Source organism: Homo sapiens, chromosome 17, assembly GCF_000001405.40.
Source record: "Homo sapiens chromosome 17, GRCh38.p14 Primary Assembly".
NCBI classification, from domain to species: domain Eukaryota; kingdom Metazoa; phylum Chordata; class Mammalia; order Primates; family Hominidae; genus Homo; species Homo sapiens.
The window spans coordinates 82,167,108-82,190,263 of NC_000017.11; the positions used below are offsets into that span (position 1 = coordinate 82,167,108).

At 50.9% G+C, this 23,156-nt stretch overlaps 1 protein-coding gene across 39 annotated transcripts in view, besides 4 other annotated features; it reads right to left on the reverse strand.

Annotated features, from left to right (window-relative positions):
• The window catches only part of CCDC57 (coiled-coil domain containing 57), a 111,373-nt gene that overhangs the window by 65,638 nt on the left and 22,579 nt on the right, over positions 1 to 23,156 (reverse strand). For 34 of the 39 annotated variants that reach the window (XR_001752485.3, NM_198082.4, NM_001394669.1 and 31 more), the window contains 6 exons: positions 21,112 to 21,312; positions 16,667 to 16,825; positions 11,920 to 12,082; positions 11,367 to 11,498; positions 5,531 to 5,753; positions 4,594 to 4,746 (listed from right to left, as the gene is read on the reverse strand). Coding sequence is in view for 37 of the 39 variants with exons in the window: in NM_198082.4 (NP_932348.2) it covers positions 4,594 to 4,746; positions 5,531 to 5,753; positions 11,367 to 11,498; positions 11,920 to 12,082; positions 16,667 to 16,825; positions 21,112 to 21,312 (1,031 nt within the window). In the remaining 2 variants the exon portion in view is untranslated. Of the gene's footprint in view, positions 1 to 4,593; positions 4,747 to 5,530; positions 5,754 to 8,458; positions 8,648 to 11,366; positions 11,499 to 11,919; positions 12,083 to 16,666; positions 16,826 to 17,850; positions 17,941 to 21,111; positions 21,313 to 23,156 lie in introns of those variants that run through there. The other 5 variants (XM_011523557.4, XR_007065291.1, NM_001367828.2 and 2 more) reach the window with 5 other exon arrangements.
• Positions 6,447 to 7,237: an enhancer, noted in NCBI's record as "OCT4-NANOG-H3K27ac-H3K4me1 hESC enhancer chr17:80131430-80132220 (GRCh37/hg19 assembly coordinates)". NCBI's record gives its function as "activates a minimal SCP1, AML or CMV promoter by ChIP-STARR-seq in primed H9 embryonic stem cells {active_cell/tissue: H9 hESC(primed)}" and the evidence as "EXISTENCE:reporter gene assay evidence [ECO:0000049][PMID:30033119]".
• Positions 8,027 to 8,816: an enhancer, noted in NCBI's record as "NANOG-H3K27ac-H3K4me1 hESC enhancer chr17:80133010-80133799 (GRCh37/hg19 assembly coordinates)". NCBI's record gives its function as "activates a minimal SCP1, AML or CMV promoter by ChIP-STARR-seq in naive and primed H9 embryonic stem cells {active_cell/tissue: H9 hESC(naive and primed)}" and the evidence as "EXISTENCE:reporter gene assay evidence [ECO:0000049][PMID:30033119]".
• Positions 12,574 to 13,541: an enhancer, noted in NCBI's record as "H3K4me1 hESC enhancer chr17:80137557-80138524 (GRCh37/hg19 assembly coordinates)". NCBI's record gives its function as "activates a minimal SCP1, AML or CMV promoter by ChIP-STARR-seq in naive H9 embryonic stem cells {active_cell/tissue: H9 hESC(naive)}" and the evidence as "EXISTENCE:reporter gene assay evidence [ECO:0000049][PMID:30033119]".
• Positions 13,542 to 14,508: an enhancer, noted in NCBI's record as "H3K4me1 hESC enhancer chr17:80138525-80139491 (GRCh37/hg19 assembly coordinates)". NCBI's record gives its function as "activates a minimal SCP1, AML or CMV promoter by ChIP-STARR-seq in primed H9 embryonic stem cells {active_cell/tissue: H9 hESC(primed)}" and the evidence as "EXISTENCE:reporter gene assay evidence [ECO:0000049][PMID:30033119]".

Here is a 23,156-nt window from a genome sequence, read left to right on the forward strand (position 1 = left end):
GAAAAGAAACAAAACACAGCCTCAGGGACCAGCAGGACAATAACAAAAGACCAAACGTTTGTGTCCTCAGAGCCCCAGAAGGAAAGAGTGTGGAGCCGAAAAAATTACTTGAAAAATAATGAATGAAAACTTCTGAAATTTGGTGAAAGACATAAACCTTCAGATCAATATCAAAAAGAATAAACCAAAGAAATCTATGCCCAGATACAACATAATGAAATTTCTGAAAACTAAAGACAAAAATTCTTTTTTTTTTTTTTGAGATGGATTTTTGCTCTTGTAGCCCAGGCTGGAGTGCAGTGGCGCGATGTCGGCTCACTGCAACCTCCACCTCCCGGGTTCAAGCGATTCTCCTGCCTCAGCCTCCCAAATAGCTGGGATCACAGGTGTCCACCACCATGCCCAGCTAATTTTTGTATTTTTAGTAGAAATGGGGTTTCTCCACTTTGGCCAGGCTGGTCTTGAACTCCTGGCCTCAAGTGATCCACCCGCCTCAGCTTCCCAAAGTGCTGGGATTGCAGGCACCCGCAACCACACCCGGCCAATTTTTGCATTTTTAATAGGGGTTTCACCATGTTGGTCAGGCTAGTCTTGAACTCCTGACCTCAAGTGATCCACCCACCTCGGCCTCCCAAAGTGCTGGGATTACAGGTGTGCGCCACCGTGCCCAGCTAATTTTTGTATTTTTAGTAGATACGGGGTTTCGCCATGTTGGCCAGGCTGGCCTTCAACTACTGACCTCAGGTGATCCACCTGCCTTGGCCTCCCAAAGTGCTGGGATGACAGGCATGAGCCACGGCGCCCGGCCTGTCAACGTAATTTTAAGAGTTAAGTGTGAAAGAATGTCTATCATATTCATCCTTGCCATTAGTTTTCCTTCACTCCTGACATTCCTAGTTTCCTTCCTTCTGTTGTGTCTAAAGTACCTCCTTTATCAGTTCTTTTAGATCCAGTCTGCTGGTGACAAACTTTTCCTTCATCTGAGAATGTCTTTATTCACTCTCATTCCTGAAGAATATTTTTACTGAATGTATAATTATGGGTTGACAGTTTTTTGCTTTCAGTACTTGAAAAATATTATGCCACTTCCTTCTGAGGAGAAATCTGATGACAGCTGCTGCTGAGAACCCACTACCGCTCCAGTCACTGTCCCCTGTGGGCTGTGCATCGCTCTCTCTGTGTGCTTTCAACAGTTTTTGTCTTTAGGCCGGGCGCAGTGGCTCACGCCTGTAATTCCAGCACTTTGGGAGGCCAGCGCAAGTGGATCACCTGAGGCCAGAAGTTCGAGACCAGCCTGGCCAACATGGTGAAACCCTGTCTCTACTAACAATACAAACGCCACCAGCTGGGCATGGTGGCACATGCCTGTAACCCTAGCTACTTTGGAGGCTGAGGCATGAGAATCGCTCGAACCCAGGAGGCAGAGGTTGCAGTGAGCCGAGATTGTGCCACTGCACTCCAGCCTGGGCAACAGAGACTCCGTCTCAAAAAACAAGAAATTCATTTCAAATATAAAAGAGAGAGGTAGGTAAAAAGAAAAAGGGATGAAAAAGTTATACCACGCGAATGCTAATCAAAAGAAAGCCCGAGTGGATTAATTAATATCAGACAAGGTAGACTTCAGAACAAAGAATGTTGCCAGACAAAGAGGAAGATTACGTAACAATATAAGGGTCAATTATCCTAAAAAAAAAAAACCCTAAATGTATACACATCTAACAACAAAGATACAAAATATATGAAACAAAAACAAAGAATCGTGATTTAAAAAATAAAGATCTATATTAAAACAGGAATAGAAAGAAACTTCCTTAACCTCCCTCCACTACCCCCACCACAAAAAACCTTCAGCAAAAACTCAACCTAAAAAAGTGAAATGCTGAAAGTTCTTCCTCTGGGATTAGGGAGAAAGACAGCTATTATCAACATCATACCGGAGAGTTTAGCTAGGGGCGATAATGCAAGAAGAAGTAAACAATATCAGCATTGGAAAAGAAAAATAAAACCTCCCTTATTTTATTTTACTTTATTTTTTTTGAGATGGAGTCTCGCTCTGTTACCTAGGCTGGAGTGTAGTGGTGCAATCTCGGCTCACTGCAACCTCCGCCTCCTGGGTTCAAGTGATTCTCCTGCCTCAGCCTCCCAAGTGGCTGGGATTACAGGTGCCTGCCACCACGCCCAGCTAATTTTTTTGTATTTTTAGTAGAGACGGGGTTTCACCATGTTGGCCAGGCTGGTCTCAAACTCCCGACCTCAGGTGATCCACCCACCTCGGCCTCCCAAAGTGCTGGGATTACAGGCGTGAGCCACTGCGCCCGGCAAAAACCTCCCCTATTTGAGACAATCTGTGCCAGTGGAGTGTCCTGTCTGGCCCCTCCCTTTCTTTTCCTGCCTTAGGCCTGCAGATGGGGCCTGCCTCCCCTACACTAAGGGGGGCTGTGGCTCCAGCAGGGTGAAGGCATCTGTGTGGAAGGCAGCCAGGCTGGGCTGTCAAGCTCGGTGATGCTGGGGAGGCATCCAGGCAGGAGAGGGGCCTGCAAATAGGGGAAGGGGCCACAGCAGCAATGGGGGATTGGTTACACCAAGAGGACTCGATCAAAGTAACTGTGTTAGTGATAATGGGCGAGCCAGGTTTCTCATTATTGGGAAAGGAAGTTAGAATAATGAAAAAGAAAGCTAGAATGCTAGAATGAACCTTTTGATGTTGGACTAACCACAATGGAATAGATTAGCCTATGAGTTTGTCTTGAAATTAAGACCTTCCATTCACCAAAGACACCAGTGAAGGAATAAAAGGCAAGCCATAGACTGGGAGAAGATATTTGCAACACATATAACCAACGCTAGGCTCATATTCAGCATAAAATACCCTAAAAAAATCTATGACAAAGGGCAGATGATCCAATAAACAATGGGCAAAAGACATGGCCTGGAGCTCCAAAAGAGGGGCTGTCGAAAGGCCAATTCTATGGACTGAGCTCTGCCCCCCAAAATTTACGGGTTGAAGCTCTCACCCCGAACATGACTGTATTTGGAGACAGCGCCTCTGAGGAGGCAGCTAAGGTTACATGAGGTCCTAAGGCTGGGGCCCTGGACTGTTGTCCTTACAAGAAGAGGAAGAGTCGGGCGCGGTGTCTCACGCCTGTCATCCCAGCACTTTGGGAGGCTCAGGTAGGCAGATCACGAGGTCAGGAGTTCGGGACCAGCCTGACCAACGTGGTGAAACCTCATCTCTACTAAAAATACAAAAATTAGCCGGGCGTGGTGGCATGCACCTGTAATCCCAGCTACTCAGGAGGCTGAGGCAGGAGAATCGCTTGAACTTGGGAGGCAGAGGCTGCAATGAGCCAAAATCATGCCACTGCACTCCACCCTGGGCAACAGAGCAAGACTCTGTCCCAAAAAAAAAAAAAAAAAAGAGGAAGAGACACCAGGAGTGAGCATGCAGCGGGGGAGGAGTCACGTGAGCACGCAGGGGGAGAGTCCACATGAGCACGCAGGGGAGAGGGTGCCGTCTGCAAGCCACAGAGAGGCCTCAGGAGGAACCCACCCTGCCGGCAACCTGATCTCTGACATCCAGACTCCAGAAGTGAGAAAATAAAACCGTTGTTTAAGCCACTCAGGCTGTGGTGTTGAGTTACGGCAGCCCTAGCCAATCATACGCCAATGCACACAGGAAGAGATGTTCAATCCCACGAATCTCATGAATTTGCAAATTAAACCAAAATAGGATGTGCTACGTGTCCACTAGAGGGAACAGAAGGAGCCGCTGACCACGTAAGTGTTGGCGCGCATGCAGCACCACGGCTACCTCGCACGATGTGGATGGATGCTTTGGAGAAGAATCTGGCATTATCAAGTGAAACACAGTGTAGGTCTGAAGACGCCAGACAGAAGCACAGGTGCCACAGAATTCCATTCACACCAAAACAGGGAGCGCTGACTGCAGTGAGCAGCCAGGGCACGTGGGCTCCGGAGGGAGCACAAGGAATTCCATTCACACCAAAACAGGGAGCGCTGACTGCAGTGAGGAGCCAGGGCACGTGGGCTCCGGAGGGAGCACAAGGAATTCCATTCACACCAAAACAGGGAGCGCTGACTGCAGTGAGGAGCCAGGGCACGTGGGCTCCGGAGGGAGCGCGAGGAATTCCATTCACACCAAAACAGGGAGCGCTGACTGCAGTGAGGAGCCAGGGCACGTGGGCTCTGGAGGTAGCTCCAGGAATTCCATTCACACCAAAACAGGGAGGGCTGACTGCAGTGAGGAGCCAGGGCACGTGGGCTCTGGAGGGAGCACAAGGAATTCCATTCACACCAAAACAGGGAACGCTGACTGCAGTGAGGAGCCAGGGCACGTGGGCTCCGGAGGGAGCACAAGGAATTCCATTCACACCAAAACAGGGAACGCTGACTGCAGTGAGGAGCCAGGGCACGTGGGCTCTGGAGGGAGCACAAGGGGCTGCTGGGCTGGATGACGCCGCCCCAACGTCTGCAGTAGCCTTGAGCTGTATATTTGCTATGAGCGGACTTTTGCAGGGGTCAGATTTCAGTTTATAAGGGGACAGCAAGTACCCCACTGAGACGCGGACTTACCAGTCGTCTCTGTCGAGGTGCGGACGCTGGGCTGAGACTCAGCATGAGGTGAGGACATCTTTAAAGGATCCAACACATCTTCTAGATGCTTTTCCAGAGTTTTAAACTTATGCTTTAGAGTTCGTATTTCTGCTTCAAGGGCCAGAACATAATCTGCCAAAAAAACCTCCAGTGAATATAACACATACACAGCATCCTTTCGCACCTCCCTCCTGTGAGCACCAGCTCAGGGAGCCGATGCCAGCTCATGCCCGCCAGCTTCACTGTCCCTGTCCTCCTCACACTACAGCTTCACCGTAGTTTCCACACTCTCTGTGTGTGTCAGACTGAAAGACCTTCCCTCCCCTCACTGGCCAGAGTGTGCCAGCCAGAGACCAGCACAGTCTCCATGCTCTCCAGGAAGGGCTCAGTGATCAGGAGCAAATGCTCCACCTGCCGCCAGCCCACGTGCCTCTGTGCAGAGGGGCCAAGTCCCATCTCGAGAACGGAAGCTCTGCCTCCATCCCGGCATCTGCCCACCCACAGCCACTCATGGGGTCCCTGGGGGTCGGGAGGCCCTCATCAGCTCTGCCACAGACGCTCCTCTGGAGGAAAGGACTGAGGTCCACCAGCCCCTGCTACCAACCCATTCTGGGACAGCGCGACAGCAAGCCAGCCCTGGTCCAGGTCTAAAACAGGTTTTTAAGTGTGTCAAGCAGGTACCCTCATTTTTTCCTTCCACTTTACAAATATAAAAGCTTTTTGGTATAAAACTTAAGATCCCTTCTCTTGGAGAAAAAGCAGTTTTCATACTTTGAGTTTATTACAGGGGATGTTAACTTATAGGACTCTGAAATGAAGCCTCCTTGAAGCCAGTCAAGACCCATGCTCCCGTCTGTCCTCCTCCCTCCCTCTCCCCCTTCCTCTCCCGCTCTGTCCGTTTCTCCCACTTACTCACCAGGAGTGGCGGCATCTCCCCCAGCCTCTGGGTCAGGCTGGTTTGCATCTGTGCTCTCTGCCGCTGTCTGGATGGGAGGAGGAATCTGATGGCTTAGAGCCTCCATTTCTTTCCTCATCTGGGCAATCGCGTTTCGCAAGCTCGTGTTCTGCTCTCGGAGCCGCTGGATCTCACTGGATGGAAAGTCTTTACTTATTTCTTCTTCATGCTGCCTGAGAAGCATCTGTCAAATACAAGGAAAAATGGCTACAAAAAGATGAATGGTTCCCCAGCTTGTCCTGACAGGCTGTGCCTCCGCTCTCCCCGCGCCCCTCTCGGGCCGGTCCCCCGCTTCAGCTTGGGCTGTGGTCCCTCCCCATCCCCAGGCTGTGATGCCCCTCCTTTCTGACAGAAGTGCAAATATGACACTCAAATTCCTGGAGCCTTTCATACTTTTGAGATCCCTAGAGTGTCCAATCCACAGAGGCAGAAAGTGGAATGGGGGTGCTGGGGCTGTGGGCGGGGAGGGGGAGCCAGTGTTTCTTGGGGACAGAGCTTCAGTATGGAAAGATGAGAATGTTCTGGAGAGGGTGGTGTGATGGCTGCACCTCCGTGTGAATGCGCTTCATGCTGCTGAACTGTGTGCACCAAAAAATAGTTAAAGCAGCCAGTTTTGCGTTATGTATACTTTAGTACAATCAAACATCCACTAAATAGGATGAAGAGCAGGTTCAGAGCGCGCAGAAGAAAAGGCAGTGAATATAAACACCTGGCAACAGAAAATACCCAAACTGAAGCTCAGAAGGAAAGGTGCCAAAGAAGAAAAAATGAGCAGAGCTCTGGAGACCATGAACAAGGTGCACAAGGAACCAGGAGCCCAGATGAACGCAAAGACAGGAGACGCGTCTACAACAAGGCCAGACATGTTACAAATGTGCTGAAAGCCACACATCACAGATGACGAAGCAAATGAGCTGAAAGCCGACATCACAGATGACGAAGCTCAGTGAACCCTAAGCAGGATAAACAGAAAGAAAATCATACCAAACAGCACATAATCAAGCTGCTGAAAAATCAGCAACAAAATGGAAACTCTAAAAGCAACCCGAGAAAAGAGACATGTTACCCTAGGGTCAAAGGGCAGGCATAGGGATGACAGACCCCGCAAGGAGCCACCAAGGCGGGAGGACAACGAGGTGAGGTGGCTCCGGTGCAGGAGGAGAGACAGGCCCCGCCCACCCAGTTCCTAGGGAGAGGGAGTGTCCTTCTCTAACCAAAGGTGAGGGGCGCTTCTGCCTCTGACCAGGAGGGACTCACTGCCATGAGTCTTTCCCTGCGGCTGTGAACAACTAGAACACCAGACACATTAGAGGAAACACCTGCTTCCAGACGCCAGCATAGACCCCAGATACGGGAGAGGGAAACAAAGTCCCAGGGTCTGGCCCAACTCAACCTTGAGTCCAGCCAAGATGTGTGCAAAAGGCACAGCTTCCTCTCCTGTGGAGCCACCCTGAGGGACGCAGAGCCTGCTCCCTACTCTGCACTCCATGAACACAAACCTGAAGCAAGATCTGGGCCCTTCCCAGGACGCTCTGACTGCCCGCTGGCTCCTCCGTGCTCCCTGGCAAGGCCAGCTGGCCTGGGCTCCCAGGAGGAGAGCTTCACACGCTGCGCTCAGGGGTGGAGAGGATGCGAACAGAACCTGCACCTCAACTGGCAGTTTAGAAACGGAGACAGTGCGATGCCTAACCCTGTTTTTACTCTAACTCGCTACTTTAAATTTTGCCCTGTTTGTCTCTTTAATCACCTAGCCTTGTTTCTCATGTAAATAAGACTCTCTCTAGCTGGGAAAGCCGGACAAACTCCAACTGACCCCTTAATTTACAAGACACTAAGGGCTCCTTACCCAACCCCCTTCCGCAAGGAGTTGACCTGTGTAAGCAGATCCTCAGCATTTCAAAGGAGCCCAATTAACTGATAAGGTACTGGCACCAACAACGTCTGAAGTTCCCAGGATTCTTCTCAAAGAGATAACAACATAAAGCCTTGAGTTCGTGTCCGGCATAGCATCTATGTCTAACTATAATGAAGGATTTAGAGCCCTGCACCTGGTACCGTTGCTTTTTGTAACCATTTGTCTTTTAAATTGTTTATCGCTCTGTAACCATTTGCTTCTTTTGATTCTTGCATGTTTTTACTTCTGTAGAATTATTGCCTTTGAGTTCCCCTCCCCTTCCTAAACCAAGGTATACAAGTTAATCAAGCCCCTTCCTCAGGGCCGAGAGAATTTTGAGCGTTAGCCGTCTCTTTGGCTGCCGGCTTAAATAAAGGACTCAATTCGTTTCAGAGTGTGGCGTCTTCTCTAACTCGCCTGGGTACAACAACAGGAAACTGCCCACCGCAGTGCCGTGATCACAATGGCGAACAACATGAAGGACCATTGGTAAGAAAATCGCTAGGTGCGTTATGGTGTGGCCGCTTGATAAAACATGCAGCCATTTAGATTCTGTTCGTGAAGAATTGTAATGGCGTGGGAAAATATTTATGGTAGAACCAAAAGGAAGAAAGAATTCTCCTGGAGAAACAGTCGCATGAGGGGTAGACCCTGGAAGGCCGTGCTCCACCTGGCCAGTTACAGAGCGGGATACCGAGTGCCCAGAGGCTTACCAGGCTATGTCCCAGGACGCGCTGAGGGTGCTGGCTGCCTGGCCTCACTGGCTGAGCAGGCCCACCACAGCGGCAAGCAAGGCTCAGAGGGCTCGGCAGTGTGAAAGGAAAATATCACTAAGCTAAAGGGAGAAGTCAAGCTGGGAACTGCTCAGGGCAAACCTGCCTCCCATTCTATTCAAAGTCACCCTTTGCTCACTGAGATGAATGCGTATCTCACTGCCTCCTTTGGAGAGGCTCATCAGAAATTCAAAAGAATGCAACCATCTGTCTCTTACCTACCTATGACCCGGAAGCCTCCTCCCCACTTGGAGTTGTCCCGCCTCTGCAGATGGAACCACTGTTCATCTTACATATGTTGATTGATGTCTCCTGTCTCCCTACAATGTGTAAAACCGAGGTGTGCTCTGACCACCTCGGAACACGTCGTCAGGACCTCCTGAGGCTGTGTCACCGGTGCGCATCCTCAACCTTGGCAAAATAAACCTTCTAAATTAACTGAGACCTGTCTGAGATTTTCTGGGTTCACATTTTGGTAACCACAGGGAGATTCTGAGTGGAGATGCCTCTGACCTTTGACAAAACTCCTATCGGTACTTGGTACTGGAATGAGCTAACTTTATGGCTCAAACCAACAGGACAATTTGCCGAGGTCTGGGAGCATCCCCTCCAGAGAATCCCTGATCTCCCCAAATTTGGTCAAGATCTAAAGTTTATTTTGCTGTACAATGTTGGCAGAAGAGCTGAGGCGGGGCTTGCTTGTCTGACATAATGTAAAAGAGTCTTGGAACATGTCCTGGGTCCAGAGTCTAAAACCCCTCATGACCTTTGGAACACCAAGCTCTGTGCCAATGGGTGGAAGGCTGCCCTGCCGCACTACAGTCTAAGCCCAGGGCATAAAACCCCTCGTGGCTTGGAGAGAACCCAGGGCCCAGGGCATAAAACCCCTGGTGGCTTGGAGAGAACCCAGGGCTCAGGGCATAAAACCCCTCGTGGCTTGGAAAGAACCCAGGGCTCAGGGCATAAAACCCCTTCTAGCCTCTGGAATTGTGTCCAGACTTGCTGGCCCCTTGCTCCTTGCTCTCCCAAGATCATAAATTGATTTTATCTTGAATTAGAAGAACCTGTTCTCCCTTACCTCAAGTAGCGGAGCATATGCGAAACCGTCACAGCTACGCTTGATGCACCGCTACCTTTCTACCCCTACGTCCTCACGCCCTCACCTGTCTACCCCCACAGCCACACGTCCTCACTACCTGCTTCTTTACTTGATTACCAATAAACAGTGTGGGCTCCCAGAGCTGGGGGCCTTTGCAGCCTCCATACACCAGCGTGGGCCCCCTGGACCCACCCTATGTACTCTTGTCTCATTCCTTTGACTCTGCTGGACTTCGTAGCCCCCATGACCTGGTGTTGGGTCTGATCACCCCAACGGTACAACTCCCTTTTTTTGGAGTTTTACTTGCTTCCAACAAGGAAGGCAAGTTTCTCCTGCTTCATGATGATGGAAGGCAGGTAACTCCTTTATGGAGTTTGCACTCACTTCCAACAGGGAAGATGAGGGTTTTTTTTTTTTTTCCTGCTTCTAGGATGGTAGAGAGCAGTCTTTAGCCTGAGACCTATCCCTAGGTAAGTAACTGAATTGGCATTTGCCTTGGCTAAAGTTAAGATTAGCAACCAGGCCGGGCATGGTGGCTCACGCCTGTAATCCCAGCACTTTGGGAGGCCGAGGTGGGCAGATCACCTGAGGTCGGGAGTTCAAGACCAGCCTGACCAACATGGAGAAACCCCATCTCTACTAAAAATACAAAATTAGCCGGGCGTGGTGGCTCATGCCTGTAATCTGAGCGCTTTGGGAGGCTTAGGCAGGCGAATCACCTGGGTCAGGAGTTCGAGATCAGCCTAACATGCAGAAACCCTGTCTCTACTAAAAATACAAAAAATTAGCCAGGCATGGTGGCACATGCCTGTAATCCCAGCTACTCAGGAGGCTGAGGCAGGAGAATCACTTGAACCTGGGAGGCGGAGGGTGCGGTGAGCAGAGATCACACCACTGCACTCCAGCCTGGGTGACACGAGCAAAACTCTGTCTAAAAAAAACAACTCCAAAAATTAGCCAGGCGTGGTGATGCGCACCTGTGGTCCCAGCTACTGGAGCAGCTGAGACGGGAGGATTGCTTCAGCCTAGGGGTAGGAGGAGATTGCAGTGAGCTGAGATTGCACCATTGCACTTCAGCCTGGGCAACAAAGCGAGACCGAGACCGTGTCTCAAAATAAATAAGTAAAAACTACATGAATGAAGGACGAGCTAGGAACATTCTTCATACCACTTAGGATCTGAGTCCTAAGTACACTCGGCTGCCTTAAGCCAAGCCTCAAGGCAGAGAAGCAAATTGAATGGGAGAGAATGCGCACCAGTGGCTGGCCGCTTAGTGCGGGGAGGTGGGACCAGCAGGGGCAGGGACTCTTGGGTGGTCTTGTTGGGGTGGGGGTGCTTGGGCACACTTACATGTCGGCTGCACTGACCTGTGCACTCCAGGCCTGCGCGTTCTACTGTGTGTACAATAGCCCACAGAAAAAAGCCAACTGCAGGCCTAGGGCAGTCCTCCCGTGCTGGGCCCTCTGTGCTCTCCCCCAGCCTCCTACAGCCCTGCACCCCGCTTCCCTCTGCCTGTGGACCCAGCTCTGCTCTGATGAGCTGTGACAGCTCAGACAAGCTCCTCAGTGTCCCCATGTCTCAGCGGACATGGTGCCAACCTCCAAGATGAAATGAGTGGAGGGATTTCAAGGCCTAAGGGCAAACCCTGGCATTGGATGAGTACTTAACTATCGGCCACTAACGTCACTGCTCAACAAAATCAGGAGCGGTGATGACAGATTCCTAGCATAAAATGACCTGCTGTGACAGTCCTGAGGCAATATCATAAGAACAAACTCACATGAACGTCTGATATCTAGTTATATGTGGATTTGGGACTTTTAAAACTTTCGAATATGAAAGATACAAAGAAGCCTGAGTTCACCTTAACTCTCTAAAGCTTCTGACTCACCCTTGTTTGTGCAACAGGTCATTTAAAAAGAACACAACTGAAAGACTTAGCTCCAGTCTTGGTAGGATTTGGGGATCTGGTCCTATTTTCCCACCGCTGCTGTTGAGCAAAGTTTCAAAGAGCCGACTGGGTACTCTCACCTGTGCCCCTGGTCTGGGGAGCCCATGCATCCTCAGGGCCTGCACGGCCTGGTCTCGTTCCAGGGTCACGGCCTTCAGCACCACCTCCTGCTCCTGTAGCGCCTGCTCTGTCTCCTGCAGCTTGGCAGCAACCTGGGAAAAACGCTGGGACTCAGTCCCTGTGTGGATGACCGGGCAGCTCCCATGCCTGCTGAGGCTCCAATGGCACACATAGGTGGGAGATGCTCAGAGCACCAGGCTCCCCACTGTGGCCAGGCCGCCAAACCCTTCCTGCCCATGCATACCCCAGGCTGCCCTTGCAGGCCAGCGGGGATCATGCAGCGCTACTCAAACCACGCGGCTGGTCAACTACAGAAACAGCTTATGCAAGAAAGTCAAGGCGGGTGGACAGGCGGGGTGCATTTTTATTACTCTAATTTATTACTCTAATTACTCAGTGAGGTTTAGTGTTTTCAAATTTAAAGAACCATTTGGTAAGAACCAGACCCGTCCTGCCCAGCCCCACCTCTGCAGAGACGCCGAGAAGGCCCCAGGCCCTGGTGGCCGCACACACCTGACTTTTTGCCATGCTCAGACCCTGAATCAGGGCCTCTGACTTTTGGATCTGGTCCCTTTCAATGTCATCACAGCGGCGCTGCCAGTCCAGGCCCAGCTGCACCTGATCACGCTCCAGGCTCCGCTCCCTTTCCACTGCCAGGGACAGCTGTTGCTTGTACCTAAGGACACGTCCAACCGCTCAGCATTAATGCTTCCTGAGGTCCCTTCCACAGGAAAAGCAGAGGCACGATGGGAAAGGCAGGGCTGCCGCTGTCCCTCCTGCTCTCGCATGGCCTGCGCTGGGCTGACATGCTCCCGAGCTCCTGTGGATGGGCACACTGGGACGCCCAATACAAAGACGAGCAGGCGCCAAGGATGCCCAGATGCCGGAGAAAACCCAACACCATGGATGAGGGTGATGCCCACAAAACCAGAAGAGCCAGCATGCAGGGAGAGGGAGGAAAGCAACAACCTTAAAAGATCATAAACGCGGTTATGCACAAAGGAACGGAGCTATGAAAGCAAACAAGCAGACCAGGGTGGACCCAGCCACGGGGTGGGCAGGGCTGGGAGAGCCCCCAGAGCAAGTGCAGAGCAGGGTGGACCCAGCCACGGGGCGGGCGGGGATGGGAGAGCCCCCCGAGCGAGTGCAAAGGGACAGAGGGGTGGGAACGCAGGAACCCGGGGGCTTCCTCCAGAAAACCAGCGCACAGATGAGAATGGAAGGAGGAAACCACCAAGGATGTAAAGGGGCAGGTCCACCAGGACAGAGCAAACGCCAGCCTTCAGAGAGCTCTAGAGATCCCACACGCACACAGTAAGGGGAAACGTTATAGTATGAAGGACGAAAGAAGAGTCTACAAGGAAAAAAGAACAAGAATTGGACTAGGACTAGGCTTTACACCAGCAACTCTGGGACAGAAGGCCATGGGGCCACACACTGGGGGCAGAATTCCAGGCTGTGGGTGATCCTGTGACGGGGGAGAGGTCCCTCCTGTCCCAGGCAGCGACACAGAGATGGTGGCATGGCTCTGCGTGAGACTGGAGGGAGACTCTCCTGCTGGCCTCATTGCACCGGTAAACTTCAGGGAGTTCGAATGATAGCAATTGAGCCACCGTGTTGTGAGAGGGTCCCTGGAGGGGCTGCGTGGCCAGGACTGAGGACGCCGCTAGGGTGCAGAGTGACCCTGGCTGTCAGACAGTGAGGGAATGGAGGCCTTGGCCCCACAGCTGGAGGGACTGAATTCTGCCAACAGCTGGGTGAGTCTGGAAGGGACCCTGGGCCTCCAAGGAGAGGCAGGCCTGGCCATCATTGATTCCAGCCTGGAGAGACCCTGAGCCGGGAATGGCTGAGCCCTGCCCAGGCCCTGGCCCCAGAACCTGAGATAATAAATGGGTGTTTAAAGCAGCTAAGCTGCTAAGTTTGTGGTAATTTATACACAATGTGTTCTTGTTTTGTTTAATTATTTTTAGGTTTTTTTTGGATACAGAGTCTTGCTCTGTCACCCAGGCTGGAGTGCAGTGGCGTGATGTTGGCTTAGTACAGCCTCCACCTCCTGGGCTCAAGTGGTCCTCCTGCCTCAGCCTCTTGAGTAGCTGGGACTACAGGTGCATACCACCACGCCTAGCTAATTTTTTGTATTTTTAGTAGAGACGGGGTTTCACCGTGTTAGCCAGGATCGTCTCGATCTCCTGACCTCGTGATCCGCCCGCCTCGGCCTCCCAAAGTGCTGGGATTACAGGCGTGAGCCACTGGGCCCAGCCCCACAGATACATTTTTAAATCCCTGTAACTGCAAAAATAAATAAATCTTTAACACAACACAGCAGCTGTCACCATGCCTATCTTCCCACTTTAAACAACTGGGACACTGGGCAGTAAATGGGGCACGGCTTTCACAGAGCGAACGATGAACACACGAGCGGTGCGGGGCTGAGGCCCCTCAGAGAAGGTCCTCGCGAGATGGGCCCACTCGCCGCCCGGCTTCTCTCCACAGGCCATTCCGGATCCCCGCAGGGACGGCAAACCACGCAGAGCACGGTGGTCTTGCTGTGACGAGGAGATGAAGGTTGGAGTTTGGAGAAGCTGAAGTGGCTGAAATGGGCTTTATGAGGCAGAGGGGCAGAGAGGAGGGGAACCTGGGATCTGTGCAGGGATCCCCTAGAAGCTGTGGCTGACAGCCACATGCAAATACACAGGAGAAGCCAACACCGGCTGGGCCAAGAGCAACTCGTGGGAACGAAGCAGCCAGCACGGGGCTCCACGTGCGCTGATTCCCAGAGCTCGTCAGGGCGGCCGGCGGAGCATCCTTGGAGCTCTCGCTCCAGGGCACGCAGTGGGGTCTGGGAGTCATAGTGCTGAGTCAGCCCTGGTGAAAAGGCTTCTCTAGACCTGCCCCACCTGCCCTCGCACTGATTTTAAACAAGTCTCAAATGGGTCAAGCTGCCATGTAAATACTTAACTGCAGCCAAACAAAAAACAGCACAGCCAAAACCAGATGCTCGCCAACATCATATTCACCATGTCTGACATCCAGTGAAAACTTACCAGATGGGCAAGGAAGTAGAAAAAAATGTAGCTCTCTCCAGTAGAAAAATCAGCCCATAGAAACAGACTCAGAAATAAAGATATGATGGAATTAGCAGATAAATACATTTAAGCAGCTATTACAAATAAGTTCAGAGATTTAAAGGCAACCGTGCACATAATGAGGAGAGAAATTAAATGTATAAAAAAGTCTAAATATTGTAATATGTGCTGTTTTCTTTCAGTGAATGGAAGAGTTTAACGAAGAAGGAACATTGGAATCAAGAGTTGAGAACATAAGCCAGGCGGGGTGGCTCACGCCTGTCATCCCAGCACTTTGGGAGGCCAAGGCAGGTGGATCACCTGAAGTCAGGAGTTCAAGACCAGCCTGGCCAACATGGTGAAACCCTGTCTCTACTAAAAATACAAAAATTAGCCAGGCGTGGTGGCGCATGCCTGTAATCCCAGCTACTCTAGAGGCTGACACAGGAGAACTGCTTGTACCCAGGAGGTGGAGGTTGTAGTGAGCTGAGATTGCGCCACTGCACTCCAGCCTGGGTGACAGAGTGAGACTCCATCTCAAAAAAAAAAGAAAAAAAGTTGAGAACATTATCACAGCATGTTTTTTTTCTTCTGCATTAGTTCATATTATGAGGGTTTTCTACATACACAAGTAATAGGTAAATCTAAATGTGCTTTCTTGAAGATACATGATGTTTTATTTCAGTCAATGGAAGTATTTAACAAAAAAAAAAAAGAATGCTGGAAGGAAGAGCTAAGAACGTTATTACAACATGTTTCTTTCAGCATTGGTACTTTTCCTTTTTTTTTTTTTGAGACCCAGTCTCGCTCTGTTGCCCAGGCTGAAGTGCAGTAGCACCATCTCGGCTCACTGCAGCCTCCGCCTCCTGGGTTCAAGTGATTCTCCTGCCTCAGCCCCCCGAGTAGCTGGGATTACAGGCGTGTGACACCACACCGGGATAATTTTTGTATTTTTAGTAGAGATGGGGTTTTACCATGTTGTCCAGGCTGGTCTCAAACTCCTGACCTCAGGTGATCTGCCAGCCTTGGCCTCCCAAAGTGCTGGGATTATAGATGTGAGCCACCGCGCCCGGCCCACCAAACATTTATTTATATTTTATTTTTTATTTGTTTATTCATTTTTTTGAGACAGAATCTCACTCTGCTGCCCAGGCTGGAATGCAGTGGCACGATCTGGGCTCACCAAAACCTCCGCCTCCTGGGTTCAAGTGATTCTCCCACCTCAGCCTCTGGAGTATCTGGGACTACAGGCGTGAGCCACCATGCCTGGCTAATTTTTGTATTTTTAGTAGAGACGGGGTTTTACCATGTTGGCCAGGCTGGTCTCGAACTCCTGACCTCAAGTGATCTGACAGCCTTGGCCTCCCAAAGTGCTGGGATGACAGGCGTGAGCCATCACACCCGGCCCACCAAACACTTTTAAACCATCAGAACTCACTTACTATCATAAGCACAGCATCGGGGAAACCGCCCCCATGAGCCAATCACCTCCCATCAGGGTCCTCCCTTGACACATGGGGATTACAATTTGAGATTAGATTTGGGGGGGGACATAGAGCCAAATGATATCATACAGCATACACATTCATCAAAATTCATCAAGTGTAGAGTTAAAATGGATGAGTTTAGCATATGTATTCTGTAATAAAGTTGACTTGAATGTGTATGGGAAATAGAATGCTATCTTTGTTCAAGGAAGTGTTCGCCCCAACGGATAAGAAACACATGAGGACATGAACAATCAGACAAGACAGACGAGGAGATTCTTTGTTTTTGTTTTCCTTTTTGCAGAGATGGGGTCTCACTATGTTAACCAGGCTGGTCTCCAACTCCTGGGTTCCAGCAATCCTCCTGCTTCTGCCTCCCTAAGTGCTGGGATTATAGGTGTGAGCCACCACGCTTGGCAAGAGGAGATTCTTAGTGCAGAATCAAGCAGGAGCACCTTTATGGCTCTTATTACAGACTGAGAAACACCATCCTCTGGCCATGCTCCCTCCAGCAGGCGGCCCCTTCTGCATGTCTTCCCACACCACCCCTGCGTGACCAGACATTCTATCTGTCTTGTTCACTGTCTTTCTCCCCCAAGAAAATGTGAGGCCAGGGACTCAATCTGTTCAGTTTTGAATCCTTAGTACCTACAACAGCACCTGCCCATAGGAGACCCTCAATGGAAACATCTGCCTGGGGACAGTTACCTTTCAATGTCCTGCTGGGATCGGGCCACCTGTGCCTTGAGCTTCACCTCTTCTTCCTGCAGCGTCTGAATCTGAAGGTCTCTGGAGACCATCTCCTTAGATAGTTGAGCAATTTGAGCATCCCAGGCAGATTTTACAGTTGATGCATCTTCACGAAGTCTAAACATAGAAGGGAAACTATGTAGATGTGGTTCTCACTCACTAAAGTTGTCTCTTACACAGCACCCCCCAGCAAATACACATGCGCGCGCGCGCGCGCACACACACACACACACACACACACACACACACACACACACACACACACACAGCTCTCGAGCTGAAACTTCCTGGCCTAGATGATGAAGATGGTTCCGCACAGGAAGAATTAAGCATCCGTCCACCCAACTACCTCCATGCATGCATGCATCCCACCAACCCAGATTCCAGCTAAGCTCCTGCAGCACACCAGGCCATGTGCCAGGTTCTTGGTGGGCGGAAGGTGAGGCATGACATGCCTCCCATGCCCACAGAGCCCACAGTCATGAGGTAGCAACACCTCTGACCAAGTCACCCTCATGTCCTCGCCATGCCTAGCACAGCACCCCACGTGCAGAGACATTCAGCACATTTTCAAGTTGCATGGTAAAATAAGGTTCTACAGAACCCACTAAATAACCTTAACAGCAGGATGCCTCTGGGAGAATTACCCAAAATGGAATAAATTTCCCAAGAAAATGTTCGGGACAATATCTAGAGCTGTTAACTCAGGTAGCCACAGTACTAACCTAGGCAAGATGATACCTGCCCACTTGCATGGGCGTAGCCCTGTTTCCCTAAGAGATGGGAAGACGGCCCACAAGAGCAACTGTAGCATCACACACGACAGACCTTCAGATGCTCCTGTGCTGATGAACTTCCAACTGACAGTGAGAAGCAGAGGGTGAGCTGGCTGCCCCCACAGAGGCCACCCCTTGTCACGAGGGGTTAAACCTAGCATGAGTGGTGCACTCAAGCCTGGTATTATATAGAATGGAAAAAAAGCCACCCTGCCAACAGTTTTGGACACATATTTTAGGACAGCTGAAAAGAGACACCATCAAAGGCATCAACGTTTCCAGCCATCTCTGGCAATGTGGGCTGACACAGAATGTGTGTTTGGACTCCTTCCACGCTTTGCGTGGGTACTGAAGAAACAGACTCACCAACGGCCTCTGGTGCTCTGGGAAGCAGCTTTATCCCTGGACCATGAGCCACCTAATTATGAGGGCCAGCCCCACTCCCAGCATCAGGATGGTGATGTGACTCTGCCTGGGGCCTCCTGGACAGTCTCCCCTGATGCACAGTCTCAGGTGTAGATCAATGGGCACGGCTGCTGAGCCCTCACTGCAGGGACAGAGGACACCACGGCCACGAGCGGGAGTGCACTGCTCACCACAAGAGCGTAAATGCTTTTTGTGAGAAGCCAAGGTGGAAGGATCACCTGAGCCCAGGAGGTCGAGGCTCCAGTGAGCCATGATCGCACTGCTGCTTTCCAGTCTTCTCTTTCTTCTGCGTAATGGGATGGTTAAAATAAAAAAGAAGGCTGGGCATGGTGGCTCATGCCTGTAATGCCAGCACTTTGGGAGGCCGAGGCAGGCAGACTGCTTGAGGTCCCAGAGCTCGAAACCAGCCTGGGCAACATGACTAAACCCTGTCTCTACTCAAAATACAAAAATTAGCCGGGTGTGGTGGCACGCACCTGTAGTCCCAGCTACCTGGGAGGCTGAGGGGGGTGGATCACCTGAGCCCAGGAGGTGTAGGCTGCAGTGAACCGAGATCACGCCACTGCACTCCAGCCTGGGTGACAGAGTGAGACCTTGTCACAAAAAAAAAAAGGAAGAAAAAAATGCTTTCCTGTTAATCCTACAGGTTTTCTCTGTAGTTCCAAACTCCAAACCAGCACAAAACTGCTGAAAAACCTATTAAGAACTACAAAGCTGGCCAGGCACGGTGGCTCATGCCTATAATCCCAGCACTTTGGGAGGCTGAGATGGGAGGATCACTTAAGTCCAGGAGTTTGAGACCATCCTGGGCAACATGGGGAGACCCCATCTCTACTTCATTTTAAGAAAGAAAAAAAGGAACTGAAATAAATATGGCTGTCACTTATTTCTATTTTTTTAGTTAAAAAATTATTTTTTTAGAGACAGAGTCTTGCTCTGCCTCCTGAGTAGCTAGGACTATAGGTGAGCACCACCGTACCTGTCTAACTTTTCTTTGGGTAGACATAGGGTCTTGTTTCGTTGCCCAGGCTCAAGTGATCCTCCTGCCTCAGCCTCCCAAAGTGCTGGGATTAGAGGTGTGAGCCACTGTGCCTAGCCGAGGTCATCATTTAATGCCAGCTCATACTTGGGATCATGGGATCCGAATGATAGCTGAACTCCCCAGAAGTAAAAGAGGAAAGATACAAGCTTTAGAATGTAGAAGTCTGTTTCTTACTACCAAAATAATACTGCATATGTGTAGTAATAATTCTCAATGAGCAAAGAGTATTTACGGACAGAAAACGAAAAGACATTCAAGAACAACATTTAGCTTAAGACTGCAACGGGGGGCCAAGGTTAGGCGCACAGGAGTGGTGACGCCCAGTCACCTCGGCCGCACTACATGGAAAATGGAAGCACCTGCGGCCCCTCTCACCCCGTATACCGACCACAGAGGTCGCCCCGCACACCGACCGCAGAGGCTTTAGGTGCCTCCCATGCATGGCGTCTTCAACCACTCTGCTTGAATCTGACTGATCAAACAACAACACAGCATGCTGAATCTAGAGAAACTATCCTGAATAAGCCCTTAACTTCCTGGTACTGTGTAGTTCTAAGAGCCATTTCCCCCTTAAACAGAAATACAATTTGTCAGAGAATTCTCTATCGGTGGTGGCTCATGCCTATAATCCCAGCACTTTGGGAGGTCAGTGTGGGAGGATCACTTGGGTCCAGGAGTTGGAAACCAGTTTAGGCAACATGGAGAAACCTCGTTTCTACAAAAAATACAAAAATTAGCTGAGCATGGTGGTGCACACCTGTGGTTCCAGCTACTGCGGAGGCTGAGGCGGGAGGATCACTTGAGCCCATGAGGTCAAGGCTACAGCAAGCCGTGATCGCACCACTGCACTCCAGCCTAGACAACAGAGTAAGACCCTGTCTCAAAAAAAGAAAAAGAGGCCGGGGGCGGTGGCTCACACCTGTAATCCCAGCACTTTGGGAGGCCGAGGCAGGGGGATCACAAAGTCAGGAGATGGAGACCATCTTGGCCAATGTGGTGAAACCCCGTCTCTACTAAAATACAAAAAATTAGCCGGGCATAGTGGTATATGCCCGTAATGCCAGCTACTTGGGAGGCTGAGGCAGGAGAATCGCTTGAACCCGGGAAGTGGAGGTTGCGGTGAGCTAAGATTGCACCACTGCACTCCAGCCTCGGTAACAGAGCCAGACTCCATCTCAAAAAAAAAAAAAAAAAAAGTCAAGATGAAAGAAAAGAAAAAGAAGAAATAAAGGAGGAAAATGGTTACAATAGTAAATTTTATGTTATGTGTATTTTACCACAATTTAAAAATTCAGAGAAAAGGAAAAAATTCTGACACATGTTAAAATGTGGACAAACTTTGAGGACATTATGCCAAGTGAAATAAGAGAGTCCCAAATGGACAAATACTGCATGATTCCAACTTACAGGAGGTCCCCAGCCCGGTCGCATCCATAGAATCAGCAAGTAGAATGGAGGTGGCCGGGGCTGGTGGGGCTCGGGGGGAGCTGGCAGGGGTCGGGGGGGCACTGGCGGGGGTCGGGGGGCACTGGTGGGGCTCGGGGGGGAGCTGGCAGGGGTCGAGAGTGCTGACAGGGGTCGGGGGTCACTGGCAGGGCTCGGCGCGGGGGAAGCTGGCAGGGGTTGCGGGGGGTGCTGGCGGGGGTCGGGGGGAGCCGGCGGGGCTCGGCGTTGGGGGAACTGGCGGGGGTTGCGGGGGGAGCTGGCAGGAGTGGGGCAGGGAGTTGGCGGGGCTGGGGGGAGCTGGCAGGGGTTGGCTGGGGAGCTGGCGGGGGTGGGGGAGGCGTTGGTGTGTAATGGGAAGATGGAAAGTTCTGGAGATGACAGTGGTGATGGTTTTACAACAACGTGAATGTGCCTAATGCCACTGCCACTGATCTGTACACTAAGAAATGGCTAAAATGGCTAATTTTATGTTATGCATATCTTACTATAAATAGATGAATGCACACACACATAGAAACTACACAATTTCAAAAATAAAGAAAAGGCAAAAAAAAAAAAAAAAGAGTGGTTAAGAAAAGTGACTGAGAGCTACAGAAGCCACTCTGTCTGCTGCCTGGCCCCCTTTCCTGTGGTCTGGCACCAGTGGGCCCAGGTCAGCACAGCCACGGCCGTCCCTGCCCTCACCCTCTGGGTGGAGCCAAGCACACGCTCACTGGTCAATGGCAGCGTCCTTCTCCTTGGCGGTGTCAGCCTGTCTCCACTCTGCCCTGCGGAGCTGCGCCTCGAGGGTCTCGCAGTGGGCCTGCAGCTCCAGAACCCTGGTCTGCAGCTCCTGCAGCTGCTCCACGTGGGCTCCCTTCACCGCCACCAGCACTGCATCCTTCTCCCTGGCCAGACGGTCGAGCTCCTCATGCCTGAAACACAGTGAGTGTCCCATGGCGCTCACCCAGCCCCCAACACCCAGGCCCCAGACCCTCTTTGGAGGCGTTCATTGCCCTGTCTCGTGCACAGGTGCTGCTGTATGTCTGCCTCAAGGCTTCGCAGCAGCCACCTGGCCACCTGTTCCTCATTCCTCGCAGGTAAACATGGACCAAGCCACTTTTCGATGCCAGGCCCCTGGCCTGCCCTCCAGAGCCCACAGCCCCCTGGAGAAGGACACCAAAAGGAGGTGCATAGAGCACAGTTTGATCCGATCAACCTGCGAAAGGAGGTGCATAGAGCACGGTTTGATCCGATCAACCTGCGAAAGCAAAAAAAGGTAGATGCACACTGCCTTGTATCCTGGCAGCCAGCCAGGTCTACGGAGCCACACCGCACCCCACCTATTGATTTTCCAATTAGAGGCAAAGTCTTGCTGTGTTGCCCAGCCTGGCCTTGAACTCAAGCAATCCTCTCACCTCAGCTTCCCAAGTAATTGGGCTTATAGGCCACACCACTTTGCCTGGCAAAAAGATTTTACTTTAAAAATATTATGTTAGCAGCCAGGCACAGTGGATCATGCCTGTAACCGAAGCACTTTAGGAGGCCGAGGCAGGTGGATAGCTTGAGCCCAGGAGTTGAAGACCACCAGCCTGGGCAATATGGCAAAACACCCTCTACAAAAAAATACAAAAATTAGCCTTTACGGTGGCGGGTGCCCATAGTCCCATTTACTCGGGAGGCTGAGGTGGGAGGACCACCGGAGCGTGGGAGGTCGAGGCTGCAGTGAGCCGTGATGGTGCCACTGCACTCCAGCCTGAGTGACACAGTGAGACCCTGTCTCAAAAACAAACCACATTAGCAACAGTATTAAATAAATAAAAAATTTAAAAAGATTTACGTGTTGATTTCCTACCCTCTGAGCATATTAGGTTCTACTAAGCAGAGTGCTATCAGGTATATGTAATGTTATGTAAGCCATCTCGGTGAAGTCTTTGATCTAACCCTACTGGGACTGAGAGAGTGAACAGCTCTGCTGACTGGGTTTCAGACCCCTTGGCAAGGCCAACCCCAGCTGTCTGCTTCCACCAAGTTGGAGAAGCTCATTCAATTATGAGCTGATGGATGATTTAAAATTATTCCTGGCTGGGCGCAGTGGCTCATCCCTGTAATCCCAGCACTTTAGGAGGCCAAGGAGGGTGGATCGCTTGAGGTCAGGAGTTCGAGACCAGCCTGGCCAACATGGCGAAACCCAGTCTCCACTAAAAAAAATACAAAAATTAGCCGGGCATGGTAGCACATCCCTGTGATCCCAGCTACTCGGGAGGCTGAGGCAGGAGAATTGCTCGAACCCGGGAGGCAGAGGTTGCAGTGACCCGAGATCGCACCACCAGCCTGATCAACATGGAGAAACTGTCTCTACTAAAAATACAAAAATTAGCCGGGCATGGTGGCATGCGCCTGTAATCCCAGCTACTGGGGAGGCCGAGGCAGGAGAATCACTTGAACCCAGGAGGCGGAGGTTGCAGTGAGCCGAGATTGCGCCACTGCACTCCAGCCTGGGTGATAAGAGTGAAACTCTGTCTCAAATTAAAAAAAAAAAAATGATGAGACACTAGTCATCTCCGTGTGAGCAGTTTGTCTCTCCAGTAAATTGCATATCCCAGTATAGAGTGACCTCTCAAGGTTCTTCATATCCCAGCATAGAGTGACTTCTCAAGGTTCTTCATATCCCAGCATAGAGTGACTTCTCAAGGTTCTTCATATCCCAGCATAGAGTGACTTCTCAAGGTTCTTCATATCCCAGCATAGAGTGACTTCTCAAGGTTCTTCCCTATTT